We start from the raw sequence: 19,754 nt of genomic DNA, 5'->3' as shown, positions 1-19,754 counted from the left end.
AACCTTTGGAATGTACTAGATACTGTGTTAAGCTCACTGTTTAGGTTCTCTCATTTAATCTTAGAAGCCCAATAATGCAGGTATTTTTACTTCACAGATAAGAAAACTGAGGCTTAAGAGGTTACCAATAAAAAGCAACAGAGATAATCTAGTTTAACTCCAAAGTTTAGTTTTTATCTCTTTACAATCTCTTACATACTTGCCCTTTGATCCCTTCTTAAACATAATCCCCTTATGCTTTGCTACAGCAAATGTTGATGCTGCCCGTATTTTCTGTTTGCTTTCACTTGAACTCCTAGGTCTGCACAGTCCTATATGGTAGCCACCAGCTACATGTGGTTAGTGCAATTGAGAAACTGAATTTCAAATTTTATTTTATTTTAAGTAACTTAAAATGTAAAGCTAAAGCATAGTAAACTGCATTTCACCAACTGCAAATTTATTTTTTGATAGCATTACATTTCATATTAATTATTGGAAATTTAATGTCTTTATGAAGATGTGCTGTAAGTGTAAAATATGTACCATTTTCTGAAGCCATAGTACGATGACAAAAAGAATGTAAAATAGCACATTGTTTTGTTTTTTTTTTTTTTTTTTTGAGATAGAATCTCGCTCTGTCATCCAGGCTGGAATGCAGTAGTGTGATCTTGACTCACTGCAACCTCAGCCTCTCGGGTTCAATCAATTCTCCTGCCTCAGCCTCCCAAGTAGCTGGGACTGCAGGTGCATGCCCCCATGCCCAGCTAATTTTTTGTATTTTAGTAGAGACGAGGTTTCACCTTGTTGCGCAGGCTGGTCTCGAACTCCTGAGCTCAGTCAATCCACCCGCTGTGGCCTCCCAAAGTGCTGGGATTACAGGCGTGAGCCACTGCACCTGGCCCGATATTTTTTTATAGTGATTACACATTTAAATGGCAATAGTCTGCATATACTGTGTTAAAGAAAATGTATAATTAAATTGATTTTACCTGTTTTATTACTTATTAAATATGGCTATTAGAAAATTTAAATTACACATGCGTCTTGCCTCATGTTTTTATTGAGCAGTGCTTTCTGAATGATATAACATAACAGATAAATGTACAAGTGGAGAGATGCTGTAATTTGCACACACAGAACGTAGGAGCTGTTGCGCAGATTTAAGTTACGGAAGTATTGTTAGCATGTTTAGGGCCGCTATAAACATACTTTCTTCTGCCTAAGGATCAACATAGTTTACTATACAAAGTATGATATAAGAATTTATTTAAATCTGTACGTTAATTTTCTTACTGTGCTAAAATGGTAAGAAGGTATTGAATGGTCAGTTCTAACATTTATATTGCATTTCATGTTGAAGAGGCACTTGGTGATCTGTGGCCTTCATGAGAGGTCACACTGAAGGGCCTTGCTTTTCAAACTAGAATTTGTTTATCCCCAAAGTTATTAGAAGGCATAGTAAAACAAGTGTTCTAGGCTGGGCGCGTGGCCCACGCCTGTAATCCCAGCACTTTGGGAGACTGAGGCGGGCAGATTACCTAAGGTCAGGAGTTCAAGACCAGCCTGGCCAACATGGGGAAACCTCATCTCTACTAAAAATACAAAAAAAAAAAAAAAAAATAGCCGGGTGCAGTGGCGGGTGCCTATAATCCCATCTACTTGGGAGGCTGAGGCAGGAGAATTGCTTGAACTTGGGAGGCAGAGGTTGCGGTGAGCTGAGATCGAGCCACTGCACTCTACCCTGGGCGACAGAGAGAGACTTCATCTTAAAACAAAAACAAAGGCCAGGCACGATGGCTCAAGCCTATAATCCCAGCACTTTGGGAGGCCAAGGCAGGCAGATCACGAGGTCAGGAGATCGAGACCATCCTGGCTAACACGGTGAAACTAAAAATACGAAAAATTAGCTGGGCGTGGTGGCGGGCGCCTGTAGTCCCAGCTACTCGGGAGGCTGAGGCAGGAGAATGATGTGAACCCGGGAGGCGGAGCTTGTAGTGAGCTGAGATGGTGCCACTGCACTCCAGCCTGGGCGACAGAGCAAGACTCCATCTCAAAAAACAAAAACAAAGACAAAAACAAACAACAACAACAACAACAAAAAACAAGTGTTCTAGTAGTCAATCTGACTCAAGATTTGGTGCAATGTTAAAAGTTTACATTGTAATTTCAAACTTTGTATTATCAAAGATATATTATGGAACAGAAAGAGAAACTGATATTTGGGAATAAAACATGGGCATATCATTTGCCAGATACGCGTTTACCTAAAAGAGGCTTCTTCCCAATGGGAATGGTTCCAAGAACAGACAGTGAAAAGGCCAACAGCCTGGGCATGAGGAGACTAGGTTCTGGCTTTAGGTCTTCTATTACCAGCTGTGTGGACTCTGGCTACCTTTCCTGAAAGTTTGCAGAGGGATTGAGAAAAATGCCATTTTAGGCTTTCCCGATGTTGCACGTACTATTTCCTCCACATAAAACCATTTTTTGCCCTTCATCTTTTCTCTAATGCCTTTCTCAGCTTCCCCAGGGAAAACTGGTCATTTTTCTCTTCCAAGATTGAATAACATTTATCATATGATGATTATAGCACTTATTAAGTTGAACTGAGAATGTTCCCAGGGCAATCTTCTCTAGTACAGAAAGAGTCCTTGGGGTGCAGATACTGTGTGTGAGATGCCATGACTTCCATAGATACTGACAATAGTATCATAGATGGCCATAGTGTCAGACATTCTATGATGGTGTCATAGATGTTTGTCTTGGCAACCACAGTGTCTGCCACAGTGCCGACACATAGTAGGTACTTGTAGAGTTATATGGGGCCTTTTGATGAATAATGAAGACAGGGCTGAGCTTAGAGTAGGAGGTGGCACAGGGAAGAAGATCAAATGGCCATTCAATGCCTAGGCAACAAGGTGACTAGCCAGTGAATACCAGCTTGAAGACACTGATTCCTAGAGAAGTCTTCTAGTAAAGACACAGGGTGCCCACACTTTGCCAACTTGATATATTTCCCCTTTCCTGCCCAGAGGGTCAGGAAACTGGCCCAGTCACCCAGAAGTGCATGAGCAGAAGTTCATGATGCATCTCCATGTGTCTTTCTCCACCGTTAATCTTTCCAAAACCTGCTATCTCAGGAGCGTATCTACAACAATTGCATCACTAAAAGTTGTGAGGATGATATGGGATGTGTTGTCACGCAATAAAACAGCCAGCCGACTCATGAGAAGTGGGTATGTCTAAGACCAGTCTGAGAAATTGCTCCCTACAAGATCCTTTCCATTAGACCTGGCTTAAAGACGGGGAGGAGGCTAGGCACAGTGGCTCATGCCTATAATCCCAGCACTTTGGGAGGCCGAGGCAGGAGGATTACTTGAAGTCAGGAGTCTGAGACCAGCCTGGCCAATACAGTGAGAACCCCATCTCTAAAAAATAAATAAAAAGTAAAGTAGCTGGGCATGGTGGTATGCACCTATAGTCCTAGCTATCTGGGAGGCTGAGGTGAGAGGATTGAGCTTAGGAGGTTGAGGCTGAAGTGAGCTATGATCACACCACTGCATGCCAGCCTGGGTGACAAAGCAAGATCTCATTAGGGGAAAAAAAGAAGAAAAGAAAAGAAGGAAAAGGAAAAAGAAAACAAGGGAAGAGAGAAGAAAAAGGAAATGTAGGTGTCCATCTGAGGTCTGAAGTCCCCAGACACAGTCCTTTTTCAGGATTTCCAGTGGGCACATGGTTAGCAAAGTGATTTGTATCTCCTAGATGCAAGACCAATTTCTATGACCAGATGTCTCACAGCTGAGTTACAAGTTAAGAGTGGTTTTGCATCCAGGGGCTTACCTTCATTTATATAGAAAACAATAAGCCCCAAACTCCATTACCATGGAATTTCTCTGTTTGGTGTTCATAGCTCAGATTTTATTAACAAACCTGAAAGATTCCTAGGATGGCTGAGGATCTTTCACCACTTCTACTTCAGGAAGTCATGCCTTTGAAAGTCAGATTGGACTGGTCTAGGGTGAGGTGGATTTTTAAAGGAATAATGAAAAATCTTCCTTTTAATCAAGGGCTGCTTTTCTCTTCCTGCTCTTCATATTCAAAAAATAAAAATGTAGGAAGAGCTTGGGGAAATAAAGTAGTCACTAGAAGCTTTGCTTTCTACAAACATTGATTCAGGCCATACCCTGATTGAGTAAAGGTGTCAACTTGCAGTTGGTGGTGCAAATACTTAGGTAATTCTAGAAATCAAGTACAACATTTTGTCTTTGGTATATAAATATTGGCATTTTTTAACTCCTAAGAAAGCGTAGTTATAATGCTATCTGAAGGTATAAATAAATCCACAATTTTTTTTTCTGTTTCTCTGTGACATTTTAGTCTCTGAAAGTCAATAACAGCCATAGATTGGCTATTGACAGTGGATCTCCAAATTGCTATGTTATGCATAAAATGAATCTTATTTTTGTCCTGGTGGTCCATTTATTCAGTGTTATGCTCAAAACCTGCCTTATGAATAAAGTAATAAACATAAACTGGAAGTATCCTCTTGTCAGCTCTCTAAGTGGTATTTTCATGTGCCAAGTGCCACATTTGCTGCCATCAGTCAAATCAAAAATTAGATTCAAGATAAAGTACCAATATTCTATCTATGGACTGTATGCATGTCTACTGAATTTTTATTGATACTGACTGGCTCATACTCTTTAGTCAGAGATTACTGGCCTACATATTGACATTTGTTAATAACAAAGAGTGTGGGTGTTATTAACAAGCCTGTTTCACAACTACCAATTCTTCTTTTGTAGCCCACGTGAAGACTATTTTCCAAATTGTAACCGTAGCCACTTTTGGTCCAGAATGTCCTGTTCATAAACTGTTCCTTAGACCTGGCCTAAGAGCAGGCGGTTTATTATGGGGAACTGCCAGCTGTCCCATCTTGCCATTCACACTGTGAGTCAGAGCTATGAGTTCACATCTGTGCCACTTTGCTTGAACTGGTAATTCTTGCATTAAAGCCAGCATTCACATTCTGCTTAAAGAATTCCATCTTGGAGTTCATGCTTCAAAAGCATTTGGGGTACTCTGCTGTCCTCTTTGATCCACTTCCATCCAGTCTAATGGAGGTTATGGAGCAATATTGCTTTTTGAGTGAGTTTGTTTTTCTGGCCAATATTCCGAGATAGTCTGGAAGAAGCCAGATGTAGTATCTGAAATGGGTCTAGGTCATACAGTTACGAAGCATACACCACTGCTGCTGGGTTAAAGACCCTCCATCATGGTGAAGTCTGGAAAAATGGTGGAAGTAACTTTCAACTGCCCACTCACTCAGGCCTTCATTTTAAAGAAACCACAAATCAACCTGCTTTTTGGCAGGTTGAAGCATTAGCAAATATTAGATCAGATGTAAATAAAAACCTTAAGTGGGGCACAGATATATAATTATGATGGTCTTTCACATCAAACAATTCTGATGAGAGAAGATTTTCTAAGTAGACAGAATAATAACTTCTCTCTCATCCCCTGGTCTCAATTTCCTTTTTGTAAAGTTTTATTTATTTTTATAAATAATGTGTAATGAGTGTTCAGCAATGTACCATGATTGCTTAATTTAATCCTCATGCTCTATATCCTCTCTAATCCTCACACCTACACATATTCTATAAAGTAAGCAACTGTATCCTTATTTTACTAATGAGGACACAGGTACCAACGTGATGCTACTTAAAGGAGACAGAACTGATAAATGCAGACCATCTGCTTAACAATGTGCCAACCTAACGTACTGAAATATTTTAAACCTTATCTTAATTGTCATCCAAGTTTTTGAGGTTGGTACTATTATTATCTTCATTTTATAGATGAGGGAAAAAAGAACCTTGAGAGTTTAGTTTACCCTCAAGACCCCTTGGAGGTTCCACGGTCACACAGTTAGTAAGTTTAGAGCCAAGATTCAAATCAGCATGTCTGACTCCAGAGATGAAACACTTCATCACAATTCCGTGGCTTTTTCCAAAGCAGGAAATTTTGGCAGCTCTTAGCCCAAGGGATGCTAAGCATCTGTATGTTCTTAAATATATAAAGCTTTGTTGTTATAAACATCATAGGACAATTTATTGAAATATTAATGTATGCACGTTCTCCTTAAAAACTTTTTATTCCCCTCCTTCCATGTTTAGTAAGTAACCAGGTTGGGTTTAGTCTTTTGTTCGTAGAGAGGTTCATGATACAGGGTCCAAAGCAGGAATTATTTCCTGCCAGTCTTTATAGAAGCTTACACAAATTGAAGGGATTCCATTAGGAGTACTCAAAGGAGAGGAATCAAGGTATGCGAAGCAGAGAGGGTAAAGAGGATTTGATCAAGACTGGGGTCAACGGATCCATTCATATCTCTTGATGGTAGCTGCCTGGGGACCGTTGCAAGTTGCATGAACATGGCTTGAACGCTAGATACTGGAGTTTCTATCCTCAACATAGACTCCTCAGTCTCCAACATAGGACAGAGACACTAGGTTGCTGGACCACAGGGCTTGTATTTAAACAGTGGGCCAACAGTGTTGACCAGTGTGGTTGTGGGACCAAGGACCAGGAGACAGCCCTGATGTTGGGAGCTGCATAATAATCTAAAAGCTTTGCTCCATCTTGAAGAATGGGAGCCTCAATATGGACTAAAAATAGAAATCCAGGTTGGGAATTGGGGCCAACATTAACTTGGTAATAAAAAAAAGGAACTTGAATAATTCTTGCACTCTCGAGTTTGTGATACACATGGCCTTTCCATTCATTAACTATGTGACCTTGGGAAAGTTATTGAGACTTTCTGGACTTTGGCATGAGCTTTCATAAAAGTAAGTTAGACTAAACTCTAGGGACCTTGCTGAACCTCAGTTCTGTGATTTCATTACTCCTTCTGTATTTTACTTTGACTAAATGGCAGAGAATTAAGTCTGAAAGTAGTATATGATAAGATGAGAGGCTCTATATTGTACCTTTGATGAAGATTAATACATAGGCCCCTATGTGGTCTTTCAGTTCTAGCTCTTCATTAGGAGAGTTTATTCTACTCCTTCTGGGCTCACTAAAATAAACTCAAATTATATAGGGGCTCCAGGCTGGTGAATAGTTCAGAGGAATATACACATCTTTACCCTGAAGGATGATAATAGAAACATAAAATAGGTAGATGAAAAATAGGGAAAGTCTGGATAAACTCCTGGACCCTGCAACTTAAGTCTTTTCAACCCTGGGCTACTTAACACTAGGTGAAAAGTCAGGTCACGTATTTAGGTTATGTCCTGTCTATGAGAAGAAACACAGGTGTCAAGATGATCAGAAATGACTTCCATTGTACTACCAGGTCTAACTCTTTTGCATTATCAGGAAGAGTACAGAATAAATGGATTGGTATTACATTTCTGTCACATGGTTCTTTTGCCACCCTCAATGCCCCTCTTCCCAAAGATAATCACCTGGACATGAGAAATTAGGAGCAGACATTGATGATGTCCTTGGTCTTCTTCAAGTTGATATCACTGGCCTTAAAAGATATACACAGGTGCCGATGTCAATGAAGTTTGTATTCTTAATATATTTGGCTCTAGTGAGAGTTTTTTAGTCTAAAGGAAGGAGCTTGGTGTTTGGCTGATGTGAACTGAGATTTGGAAATGTGGCTCAGTGCTATAAATCTGGAGGATTTATTTTCTCTAAATCATTGTGATGTCAAGTACTTGTCTAGATCAGCAAACTTTTGATAGAGATCTAGAGAATAAATGTTTTGGGCTTTGCAGGCCATATGGTTGTTGTTGCAACTATTCAACTCTGCTATTGTAAAGTGAAAGCAGTCAGACAATACACAAAATAGTGGGTGTGGCTGTGATCCAACAAAGATTTATGGACACTGAAATTTGAACTTCATATAATATTCATGTGTCACAAGTCTTATTCTTATTTTTATTATTCCAATTATTTAAAACTGTACAAAAACAGGGGGCAGCTGTATTGGTTTAGTGACCTCTGATCTTGATGGTTTTCAGTTTTTGCTATGAGCAGTATAGGGCAGTACAAATGGCTCTCCAGTGGGACTCAAGAGAACTGATGTCTAGTCTTCTCGACCTACAGACTGTGGAAACATTGACTGGCAAGTCATTAAAAATCTCTGGGGCTTCATGTGTCTCATCTTATGGTATTTATGTGGGAAGATGGAAGGTGGTAGATCTACAAATTCTGAAATTCTATGAGTTTCAACATTGTTTGATCATCCCAGATATCACTTTGCTGGCAAGTATTATACTTATGTAAAATTACTGTCATATCTTGTTGAATTGTGCTTGGCTTTGTTGAACCTATAGGACTAAATTCTACACTTGCAGAAATATGCCTGCTAGTTGAAATTGAGCTGTGCTATAATTTCTATCACGGTCAGGAGAAGGGCAATTATGTTGTCAGAACTCTACTAGGTCTCAGGAAATTGCCAAAAGGCTTTAAGAAACAAAGATATGCTTTCATTTTTCTCCTCCCAAACAATTCCTCCAAGAGTCCCATTCTCCTGAAACATACTCTTAAAAGAAAATTAAAAGGCTTGAGAGAAATGCAATAAAATCTCATTAATTGGAATCTATAATAATTTGGTTTGAGAGGAATTGGCACTATTCATGAAGAAAGGTTTTGTGGTGTCTATTAACCAATTGGAGTTGGGACGTTCATTGCTAATTTAATCAAATCCACTGCTTGAAAATGTGTTTGTTACATTGATTTACGTAAAAATATGTTAATTAAAATTTCTTTTTAAAAGAAAGTTAAGATCTCTACTTGGTAGCAATTTTTTAGAAACTGCTCGTTCTTAAGGCAACTTAAAAGGCCATAAGAATATATTTATTTAAAATATACTTTAGGCATATTGCATATTTAGGCTGGTCCCTTCTTCAAAAGCTCAGGTTAACAAAACTACATTTCTTAGACCTAGCTACAAATCTTTGAGAAAGAAACACAGGAAGAGCCTTGATAATTTGAATTAAATGATAGCAGATAATTTGTTAGGAAGATAAATGGTTGGGAGGAGGGCTTTACAAATTCTCTAATGATTAAGAACAATATGCTGGGCATCCTATAGTTCATAACCTATAGTTCAGCAATGTATAGCCAATTATTAACCAATGTTATTTCTGTATATCAGTGACAATTGCCATCAGGTAAGTTTGCATCAGCCCACTCCTTGTTCCTCTTTGCCTTTAAAAACCTGCTTGTGGCAAAGGCGGGAGGGAGCACTTCCCAAAGCAACTTGGAAGTGTGTCCTGGGAAGCTGTCCTCAACTTCGGCCCAAATAAACTCTCTATATTAATTTTGCTTCAGTTTCTTTCTTTAGGTCGACAGGAGGAACTAGGATTTGAGTTTAAGCAACTTAATCCCAGAGCTTTTGTTCTTGACCATGGTGCTAAAGAATTTCATTATAATTTCAAATGGCTAAATAATATTATGCTAAACAGATCCACCAAATATATTTAATCAATTTCTGAATGTTAGAAACATACTTGTTTCCCTAACTTTATCATTATTAGTCTCACTGCAATGATTATTCTTGAACATATTTAAATACTTTATTCAAGTTTAAATACTTATTCATTTTTTAAAGACAAAATTGCTCAAAATAGAGTTACAAAGTTAAATGGCTGCTTTTGATACCTTTTCAAATTGCTCTCTAATTTTCTCTGTCAATGGTATATGAGAGTGCTCTTTTCTTCACTCCTTTGAAACTACGGGTTATTATTTTTTTTTAACTTTTGTCAGTTAGGGAAAAAGGATATCTCAATATCTTAATCATTCTTTGGGGTGATGTGATAATGACAAAAGGGTTGAGAAATGTCACACTATCCTGGCTGTGCAGTTTTGCCTGTTTTTTTTTTGGAGATGGATGGATTTTCACTCGGTCATGAGGCTGGAGTACAGTGGCGCAATCTCGGCTCACTGCAACCTCTGACTCCCGGGTTCAAGCGATTTTCCTGCCTCAGCCTCCCAAGTAGCAGGGAGTACAGGCGCATGCCACCACATCCAGCTAATTTTTGTATTTTTAGTAGAGACGGGGTTTCACCATGTTGGCCAGGATGGTCTTGATCTCTTGACCTCGTGATCCGCCTGCCTAGGCCTCCCAAAGTGTCTGGATTACAGGCATGAGTCACCGCACCTGGCCAAGTTTTGCCTGTTTTGAACCTTATCAAAAACGTATCCTATTTCTTAAATTGGGATATTCTTTTTTTTGGTGGTTTGTGAGAGTCTCTAAGTGTTAAGAATATTAACATGTTGTCATATATATTGGGAATAACTTTTTCCAATTGTGTTCTTTGACTTTTACCTTTGTTAACCTTGTTTTCTATGTACAGAAGTTTAAATGTTTCACTTTGCCGAATCTTTTCCCTTCAGGTTTCTGTGGGTGTTTTCTCTGGTTCCCTGGGGTATTAGGACAAAATAGACTACTGTCAGAATCAGGCTTGAGAAGCCTGAAGGGCAAACAGCTGTGGCAGGTGGTTGGGTTGGGAGCAGGCTGCCTCACCTCCAACAGGGAAGAGTGCCTGCCCATTTTCCATGACCAGGGTGGCCCCTGTGGCACTGAGTCAGCTTGCAAGACCCCTCCCACACAGAGGGCATTCTGCCAGGATGAGGTGAATTCACCTGGAAAAGATGGGAGGCCAACACAGGTTGTAGAACTGAGCAGGGTTTGGTCATAAGCAACAAACCAGAAAAGAAGCATTGCGCACATCAAGGAAACAACAGTCTGACATTCCTAACAGGGTCCTCCCTGGGAACACACACAAGTGCATTTCATATTTGAATTGTCTCAGTAGTTTCATTTTACTCATTTGATATTTTTCATCAATTCATTTATTCATTCACTCATTTATTTTGAAAGTGTTTTTGGTGGTGGTGGTGGTGGTGGTTTTTGTTTTTTCCATGTCAATCTCAAATGTATTTGCAATTTATCTGGGTGTAATTTACCTACATGTAATATGTGAGGTGGGAATATAACTTCTTCTCTTATATGACCAACCAGTTATAACACTAATCATGAAATCATTGATCCTTTTCTCACCTGATCTGAAATACTCTTCTTATCGTATACAAATGAGAGTGCAATGTTGCTATCTGTTTCCAGGCTTTTAGTTTCTACCCACCCACCTCTACCCTGCCTGTTGAGCTTGTGTTCAATTTACGTATTTGTTTGGGGAAGAATTAATATAATTACAATACTGAATTTTCCCCTTCAAGGATATGGTATCTCCGTCTTTTTTTATAAATGTCTTCTGTTAAGTCTTTTATAAAAGTTTTGTAGTTTTCTTTCAATAGGTTCCAAACATCTTCAAAATAAGTTTATTCCCTAGGTGTTTGCCATTTTTGGTTATATTTAGTAGTAATATTATTTCCCTAATATATCTCTTACCGTTTATAGTTGATTATTAACTTTACTGTATGAATTAAAAAATTGTTCTTTATTGAATCTTTTTATGTCTAATAAATTTTTGATTACTTAAATATGTAAAGTGGAGGAAAATGGACCAAAACTCTATTTCGAGTGGAGGGATGGGCTCACTGTCCTACTTGCTCAATTCCCTCTCTCTCTGGTAGCCCCAAGAACAGCCCCTCCACAAGTCTCACTTGCCCTCCATAGGTCACAGCTTGAAACCCAGAAGGTGAACAATAAACTCATCTACAAATAATGGCTATTTTACCTCTTCCTTTGTAATATATATACTTCTTATTCTGTTGTACAATAGTCTTTCAATAAATATTCATTAACTTAGAGAATGAATAATTAATTATATTGTTTAGTACTTGCAAAGCTTGTTAAAAATGATAGTAAAACAGGCATCTTCATCTTTTTCTTGACTTTAAAATAAATACTTCTAGTATTTAACCAAGAATCATAGTACAATCTCTTTGAGGTAGATATTTTTTATTCTATTCAGGAATTTCTTGTTTATGTTCTATTTAAAATTTTAGAGAAATGGATAATGAATTTTATAAATGCTTAGCAGCATCTATGAAGATAATCAGTTTACTTCTTAGCTATTTCAATATTTTAAATTATCTCCTTATTGAACTATTATTTTGATCCCTGAATAGAATTACTTGATTATGTTATTCTGTTATTTGAAGGTACTGTTAGTCTCAATGCCAATTTTTATATATACTATGTATAATATTATATTATTACTTATAAAATATTTATATTTATATTTTCTTTTTACATATTTACAAAATACATGTTACTTACAAAAATATGTAATAGTTTTATAAGTAATAATATTATTTATATTTTATATATAAAATATATAAAGTAATAGTAATGTATTCTTTTCCCTTTATTAAATGCATGTTTGTTAGATTTGGAAATCAAGGTTATGCTAGCTCAATCATTGTCACCTGTGGCTGCTTATCAGAATCACCTCCAGTGACTTATTAAAAATACAGATGTTGGGCTTGGGCTGGTGGCTCCTCCCTATAATCCCAGCATTTTGGGGGCTGAGGCAGGAGGATCACTAGAGGCCAAGAGTTTGAGGTTACAGTGAGCTGTGATTACACCACTGCATTCCAGCTTGGGTAACAGAATGAAACTCTAACTCTTTAAAAAAAAAAAAGTACAGATAGCTTGGCTCAATAGAAATTACTATTTCAAATTCCTAAGTTTCTGTTTTTAACTTTAATAATTCAATACTTTTGCTTTTCTTTTATTCCTTGCTATGTTGGTTGCCCAGTTTACTAGCTTTCATCTTTCCTGCTTAGTAAAGTAAGACTTATATTTTCCTCTATGTACACAACTAGCTGCTTCCCATAATCTCATACTTGTTAGTTTCTTATTAATTTTTAGCTTTATTCACAGGATTCAAGAATGTGACTTATGTAGGTTCTACTTTTTAGAATTTCATGTGGTTTTCTTTGTGGCATAATATATAGTAGATTTTTATGTAAATTCAATGAGGATTTAAAAAGGTGAAGTCTAGTGGTAATATGTTTTAAGGTTTAGCATTCAATTGATAACTATTAAATTAGCAATCATTAATGATTACATTGTTAATGTCTTCTATATCATTTATTTATTTTTGGCTTCTTACTTTATTACTTTATAAGTAATAATATTATTTGTATTTTATATATAAAATACATAAAGTAATAGTAACTTATAGTTTTCCCTTTATTAAATGCTTGTTTGTCAGATTTGGAGATCAAGGTTATGCTGGCTCGATGGTTGTCAACTGTGGGAGACACCTTATTGTCTCCTATTACCATATCATTTTTTTGTTCTTTGCTGCTTCATTTATGTGGAATGTAAATTGACCCATAAAGGAGTCAAAGTCTCCCTTAATTTTGTATTCCACTATTTTCTAGTTGTACTCTAAAATAAGCAGTAGTACATAATTTCACATCTTAAAAATAGCCTTTGCACTTCTGTACAGATGTGTCTGGAAATATATCATTTCCAGCTGTATTTTTGGGCTCAGTTTTAACATTTACAGGTGCAGGTTTTGCAAACAATCTTCCTCCGGGAACCTGCCTCCTGGGCTCTTCCTTTGCTGCTCCTTCTACTGACATGACCTCCCTTTTGAGCCCCTTTGGTGGTTGCAGCAGGGAGGTGGGCTCTAGGTACCCGGTGGGACCTATCTTTCTATTTTTCACCCTTTGAAATAATTTTAACTTAATATCGTATATTTTTAAATTGCAGCACATAGTTGAACTTAGGTTTTTGGCCAAATCTCAGTCTTTTTCTTTTAATGGACAAATCTGTTTTAGGTACATTTTTTTTTTGTCAAAATAATATCTGTCATCTAAGTTTTAAGTGATTCCTTGTTATTTCGTTTTCTATCTTTCCTCTTTTGTTACATGGATTTTATTTTCCTTTTTCCCCTGGAACATTGAAAACTATTTTTAAAAGCTCTGAGGAGTTATTTTTTAGTGATTAAATATTCATGAACTTGTAGGTTCTCAAGAAGGTATTTTGGTTACTAAAAATTGTTGAACTTCTAGCTTTCCAATTTTCATTGTTAACCCATTTGTACTGTTAAATATTCTCTTAAGACACGTTTTCCAGAAGTTACCTGTGTTCATTAGAATAAATGGCTTTCAGAATCACGCTACTCCTAATTCTTGCATGCCATGTTAAGATTATTGTTAATGTTGCGGAATACTTTAAATATCCTCTCTTTATTTATTCATTTCCTGACTGGCTCCTTATATTCATGTTTCAGTCATTCTATTTGCCTAAAATTAGTGACGGTGGCTTCTCTTTGAGTCTTTCACTATTTACTTGAAAAATGTTAAAGTCCTTTTCTTAGAACTTGACATGGAGAGCTAAATGAAATGGAGAAATATTAAAAACTGGGCAATTCAGAAGGAGAAAGAACTTGGGCTGAGTGAAAGTCCCAAATGGGACCTTCATTTCTGCCTAGTTTCTTAAGGTTTGCTAAACCTATGGAGTCGGGGACCCATGTTCCATATCTGGCTTCCCCTGTAAGTGAACCACTGCCTGTATCAAGCAGCTTTCCTTCAGCCTCTACTGCCTGTGTAGGCAGCATTCTGTCTCACTGAGTTGGGGGGTTGTTATCAGGAATGTGTCTTCTGGCTGGTCATTAACAACCCTGGTATTGGGTGTCACCAGCACCAGAGGAAATATCTCAAATGGTTACTGACTCTGTGCTCCTTATGGCTGGGGGTACTCCTCCAGTCTCTGCCCCATCTCCAAATGGGGCATCACCGGTGACCCAGTCCTTCTAAGTGGAGTAAAGCCTCCTGTTTTCATCTCCACCCTGTTAACATCTCCAGCCCTTATGCCTCAAAATGAAGATAAGTAAGATGTTTTTCTTAAGAAATCTGTGCACCCACTATTAACTCTAGAGCTTTAGCCAATGAATGTTAGGATTAAAAAGGTACCTACTTTGTTCAATGTGAATTATTTGCTGCACAAGTCTGAATAATTAAATAGTTTCTAAAACTCTCTACTAATTGGTTACCTAAGAGGGACATGTGGTTCATAATTCATTAACATGATAGTAAATCCCTTTTTAATCACATTTGCCTCCAATTCTTAGGCAGACCTAACTGACCTGGTGAACCTTGCATGTGTCACTAGGAGGGAGAAGGGCTGTAGTAGAGAAAGCTGAGCTAGACTGGGAATTAGGTTGGTTATTTAACTTCCTTGAGTACATCACTTAGGTGCCATGATCTCAGATTCTTCCCCCAGAAGATGAGAATAACACCACCTGTGTTGCCTACACAGGTTTTTTTTTTTTTTTTGAATAAATGAACGCTCTCCCTCTCTCTATCCTCATGCCAAGAATTGAAAAGCACTCTATAAGAACAAGCTTGCATTATTCTTTCTTCCTGAATTGAAGATGAGTGGGTTTCCTTCTCACAGATGTTACTACTTTGAGTAAGAGAAAAACATTTTCACTAAAAGGAAAATAAAGAGGCAGGCTGCTCGTCTGCTTCACCTGGTCCATTCATTCATTTATTCAGTGCAACATTCCACAAGTCCAATCCCTCTTCTCACAAAGCTTATGTTTTAGGAGCAGAGACAGGCCATAAACAAATACAAATGCAAGATCATTTTAACTGGTGATGAACATCGTTAAGAAAAGTGGAAGAAAGGGCAGAAAAGGACCAGCTAGAGGAGGCACAGTGTTGCTATTTTAGATAATATGGGCAGGAAAGATCCATTTTTGTCTATTCTGGAGAATTGAAACATGCAATTAATAAACTGCCTGGCAACAGCCTAATGCTTGAAATTTCCCAAAATATCTCTTTTTTTTCTTTCTGCAGTTTATAACACCTTTTTAAGGGACACAGTCCAAATATGATCTAGATTTGAGAGACAGACACAAGGAATCTGAGACCTAACAGCAAAAAGTTTCAAAACAGTGAATGTACATACCCATTTCATGCCTGGTGCTGGCCACGCCTGTGCCATACACCTCTAAAACATCCTTTATTGTCCTCATAGACTCATCATACTTGGCTGCAAGACCAAGGAAGTTATAGGAGCCCATGTTGATGACATCTTTGATGACTCTTCCAGTAAACCTGTGGGGAAACATGTAAATGAGCACATAATCCCCTCCCCAGGATTATGCACGATTCAAAAAATCCCTGGTGGAAGACTTGGGTTCCTATGAAGAAAAAGAGGATGAGGTGACCAAGGAGATGGCAGCTCAGATCTGTGAGGTGGAACAGAGCTGGCAGGAGGTGGTTCAGTCTGTCCTAGAGGTTGGTTTCCCTCGGAGGATCCAGACCCCCTCAGCCAGTGCCGGGCACTTTAGTCCCTGGAAGCTGGAAAAGGATGAACAGCCAGGTAGCTTCCAGCCCACAGCAGGCCTCCAACTTGGACCTGCCACAGCTCCAGAGCTTGACTGGATGGAGACAGGACTATCTCCGATATTCATTGGTCATCAGGATATACCAGGAGTTGGTAACATCCACTCAGGTGCCACACCTCCCTGGATGATCCAGGATGAAGAATGCATCTCTGGGAACCAACAAACAGGACCGTCCTATAAAGAATTTATTAAAGAAAAGGAAAAAGAGAAGTTGAAGGAACTTTCCCCAAACTGAGTTGGGGCCAACTTTAATCACAGCTCCAGGACCAGTGCAGGCTGGCTGCCCTCTTTGGACCGTGTCTGGAATAATGGATACTGTTGGCAGTTCAGGCGTCAACTCAGAACTGAAGCTGCAGCAATGAACAAGCAGATAAGCAGTCACATTAAAAAAAAATGTTAATCATTCCCTGATGCTCTACCAACTACCGTGAGGCTAAAAGCAAAGTCAACAAACTCCTACCCACTATTATTCCTTCCACCAAGTTCATTATCATTGTCTTTCTTAGGAAACAGACATGCCCATTCATTTGATTTAATAAAGTTTTATTTTCCCAAATGTAAAAAAAAAAAAATTATCCTAGTGCTGGAGGGGCCTTAGGTCTGGCCCAAATCATATATTTTCTTTCTTATTAACTTGCATTGTTTTCAACATAAAGAAAGAAAAAGAAAGAAAACCTTGTAATTTGAAGCAATTTGGATGGAACTAGAGGCCTTTATATTAAGTGAAATAAGCAAGGCACAGCAGTCAAATATCACATTTCTTTTTACCTATAACGTGGGAGCTAAAAAGGCAGATCTCATGAAGGGAGAGTAGATTGGTTGTTACCAGAGGCTAGAAAAGGTAGGGAGGAGGGGGAGATAAAGAGAAATTGACTAACAGGTACAAAGATATGGTGTGATAGAAGAAATAAAACTCAGATCAGTAGGGTGACTGTGGTTTATAAAATAATGTATGGTCTATTTCAAAATAGCTAGAAGAAAATAATTTAAATGATTCTGGCATAAAAAAAGACAAATATTTAAGATGATGGATGCCCCAAGTACACTGATTTGATCTTTACAATTTATATGAATGTATTAAATTATTACATGTACTCCAAAATAATGTACATGTATTATGCATCAACAAAGTTGTTACCAAAAAATGGTTTTCCCTAAGAGAAAGGTAAACCCATGATGAAGTTGGGCAGAGCATTTGAGAAAGACATCTTGACCCATGGATTGTTACTTAGACCTGATTTTCCTTGGGCACTTATTTCTATGACACTCATGCTCTGGTTTAAATTCTAGCAAGAGCCTTCCAGAAGAACAAGAACCATGGTCATCACTGTCTCATTCAGCTGTAAGTAGGAGAGTAGAATTTGTCAATAAAGCTGAAAGGTGTCTTCCTGGCTGGCTTGGTGTGTCCTGCACCTTCTGACCCAGGTCTTAGGTTAATTACAATACAAAAAAGCCACTCTGGCAGCTGCTTGATTACTTTACTGTGCCTTCCTCCCCTGGCATCAGGAGGGCTTGCAAAGGCATAAATGATACAAAACCAATGGCTTCCATGCCTTGTTTTTTTGGATTTGTCATCTAGTGGCCATGCTAGGATTTCCTTGAAAGGTTTTTCTTTTCACCAATCCCCTCCAAGAAGTTCTCTCACCTAAACGTCCAGTTATAGTCGTCTGATACCCTCTCCATCAAATCAAACAGAGGCCCTGGGGCACTGCAGATGGGCCGGTTCCAGTTGTCTCTGATTCGCATGTAAAGGTTTCTTGTATAAAAATTTTCAAAGTCTTGATACAGTGGCACAAAATCCTGTTAGAACAGAGGTAGAAGGTTATCTCTGGTTCTTTGCTTTCTGGATTTCACTTACAATTGAAGCAGGGAAGAAGACCTGGAAGAGCTGTGGAAATAACACATCTACAGATATATTTTGAGCAAAGGTCAGTAGGTGAGGGAAGTAAATCTGTGAGGCTAAAGAACATGCCTTTTAGTGGGGGAATGAAAACATGTGATGAACAGGGGTAACAAAGATGTCAGTGCAATACAAGCCCGAAAGCAAGTGGAGACAACACGTCCCTGCAGTTTCTCTAAGGGTAACACAGGTGTCTATGTCCAAAGCAGTTTCGTTGGAAAAAAATGGTTGAGATGATCATGTGATTTCAACTTTTTTGAACATGAATATATCACTCACCGTGTGATTAGAAGTGGGGATGAACTTGAACTATCGGACCTGCTGGCAAAACTGCTACTCGAGGGTGGCTAGCTGTTACATGGCCAATGGAAACTAATCAGAGGAGCTCGTGGAGGCAGCGGGCCTCTCTCACAGCTGAGGTAAGAACGCTGAGTTGCTGTATAAAGTGTAATCCATGACCAAAGGGATCTGCAATCTAGCTGAGGCTTAAAGCAAGACATGTCTAATGTCATCATTTGACTCTTAATAGTTCCCTCTTCCCGTTTAGAAAAAAAAGTATAGCTCATTGCCGGCGCTCATTTGATTTTACATAAACATGCTCTTTGAGGCTGAAGCAAATCTGACTGATTTTCAATGTGAAAATAAAATATACAAACTGTTCTTGGAGTTAGTTCTAAATAGAACTAACATCAAAATCATCTGCATCAGAATAATCTATTTAGGAAAAATCAGATTCATCAAATTAATTTTTGGCTAACAACTGTTAAAGAATGATGCTAACATCACGCGTAGGAATGCTACGTTTTCTAGGATTTGACATTTTCCGTGAGCTAGAGAGTTACTATATTATGTAAGTGGAAATACCATTACTAAAACCAGAATGCTGTAAATAGAATGATGTCTTTTGTTTTCAAAGTTGATATACTGGAGTAATGCGAAAATAATACAAGTGAGATATTAATAGTTCATGGCAAGGTTTTCTTAGGATGAATGCTGCAGCCTCAAGATTCTCCTGCGAGTATTCTTGGAGCAAACAAGAAGAAAATTAATCCAAGGCAGAAAATGCAATAATGGTAACTGTCGTCTAAGCCAAGCACTTTGGACATTCGTGGGATTACAGTAGGAGGGAGAGTCCTACCTTGTTGGAGGAATCAAGGAAGCTTTATGTGGGAGAGTCCTTGGAGATGGACACCAAAGCAGAATGAGATTTTTATGGGCAGGGATGCTTGGGGAGTTCTCAGGGGAGTGGGTTTGTATGCTGGGAATGTGGAGTGCATTTGGGAAGAATTGATAAGAATAAAATATAATGCACACGCTGTCACTCTTTGCTCAGAACTTATAATGGCTCCCACCTCACTCCTGATTAGACATCCTGACTCATATAGCTTCTGGTTACCTCTCTGACCCCATCCCCTAATGACTCCCTACAGCGTGGGTGAGGCTGCAATGTCAGCTGGGCACAGACAGTGGGAAGCTTGAGGACCCGAAGCATTTGCAGGAAGAGCTCATCCTTTATCCTGCAG

The 19,754-nt window shown here is 38.5% G+C and overlaps 1 protein-coding gene and 1 pseudogene across 6 annotated transcripts in view; one reads left to right on the top strand and one right to left on the bottom strand.

The window, feature by feature from the left end:
* Positions 1 to 19,754, bottom strand: part of SPTLC3 (serine palmitoyltransferase long chain base subunit 3) — a 160,132-nt gene that overhangs the window by 78,717 nt on the left and 61,661 nt on the right. For 5 of the 6 annotated variants that reach the window (NM_018327.4, NM_001349945.2, XM_011529279.2 and 2 more), the window contains 2 exons: positions 17,977 to 18,131; positions 15,890 to 16,038 (listed from right to left, as the gene is read on the bottom strand). In NM_018327.4, the coding sequence (NP_060797.2) occupies positions 15,890 to 16,038; positions 17,977 to 18,131 (304 nt within the window). Of the gene's footprint in view, positions 1 to 10,519; positions 10,632 to 15,889; positions 16,039 to 17,976; positions 18,132 to 19,754 lie in introns of those variants that run through there. The other variant, XM_011529280.2, reaches the window with a different exon arrangement.
* On the top strand, positions 16,073 to 16,893 carry CENATACP1 (CENATAC pseudogene 1; annotated as a pseudogene).

Source organism: Homo sapiens, chromosome 20, assembly GCF_000001405.40.
Source record: "Homo sapiens chromosome 20, GRCh38.p14 Primary Assembly".
NCBI classification, from domain to species: Eukaryota; Metazoa; Chordata; class Mammalia; order Primates; family Hominidae; genus Homo; species Homo sapiens.
This window is presented reverse-complemented; position numbering and strand designations above follow the sequence as displayed.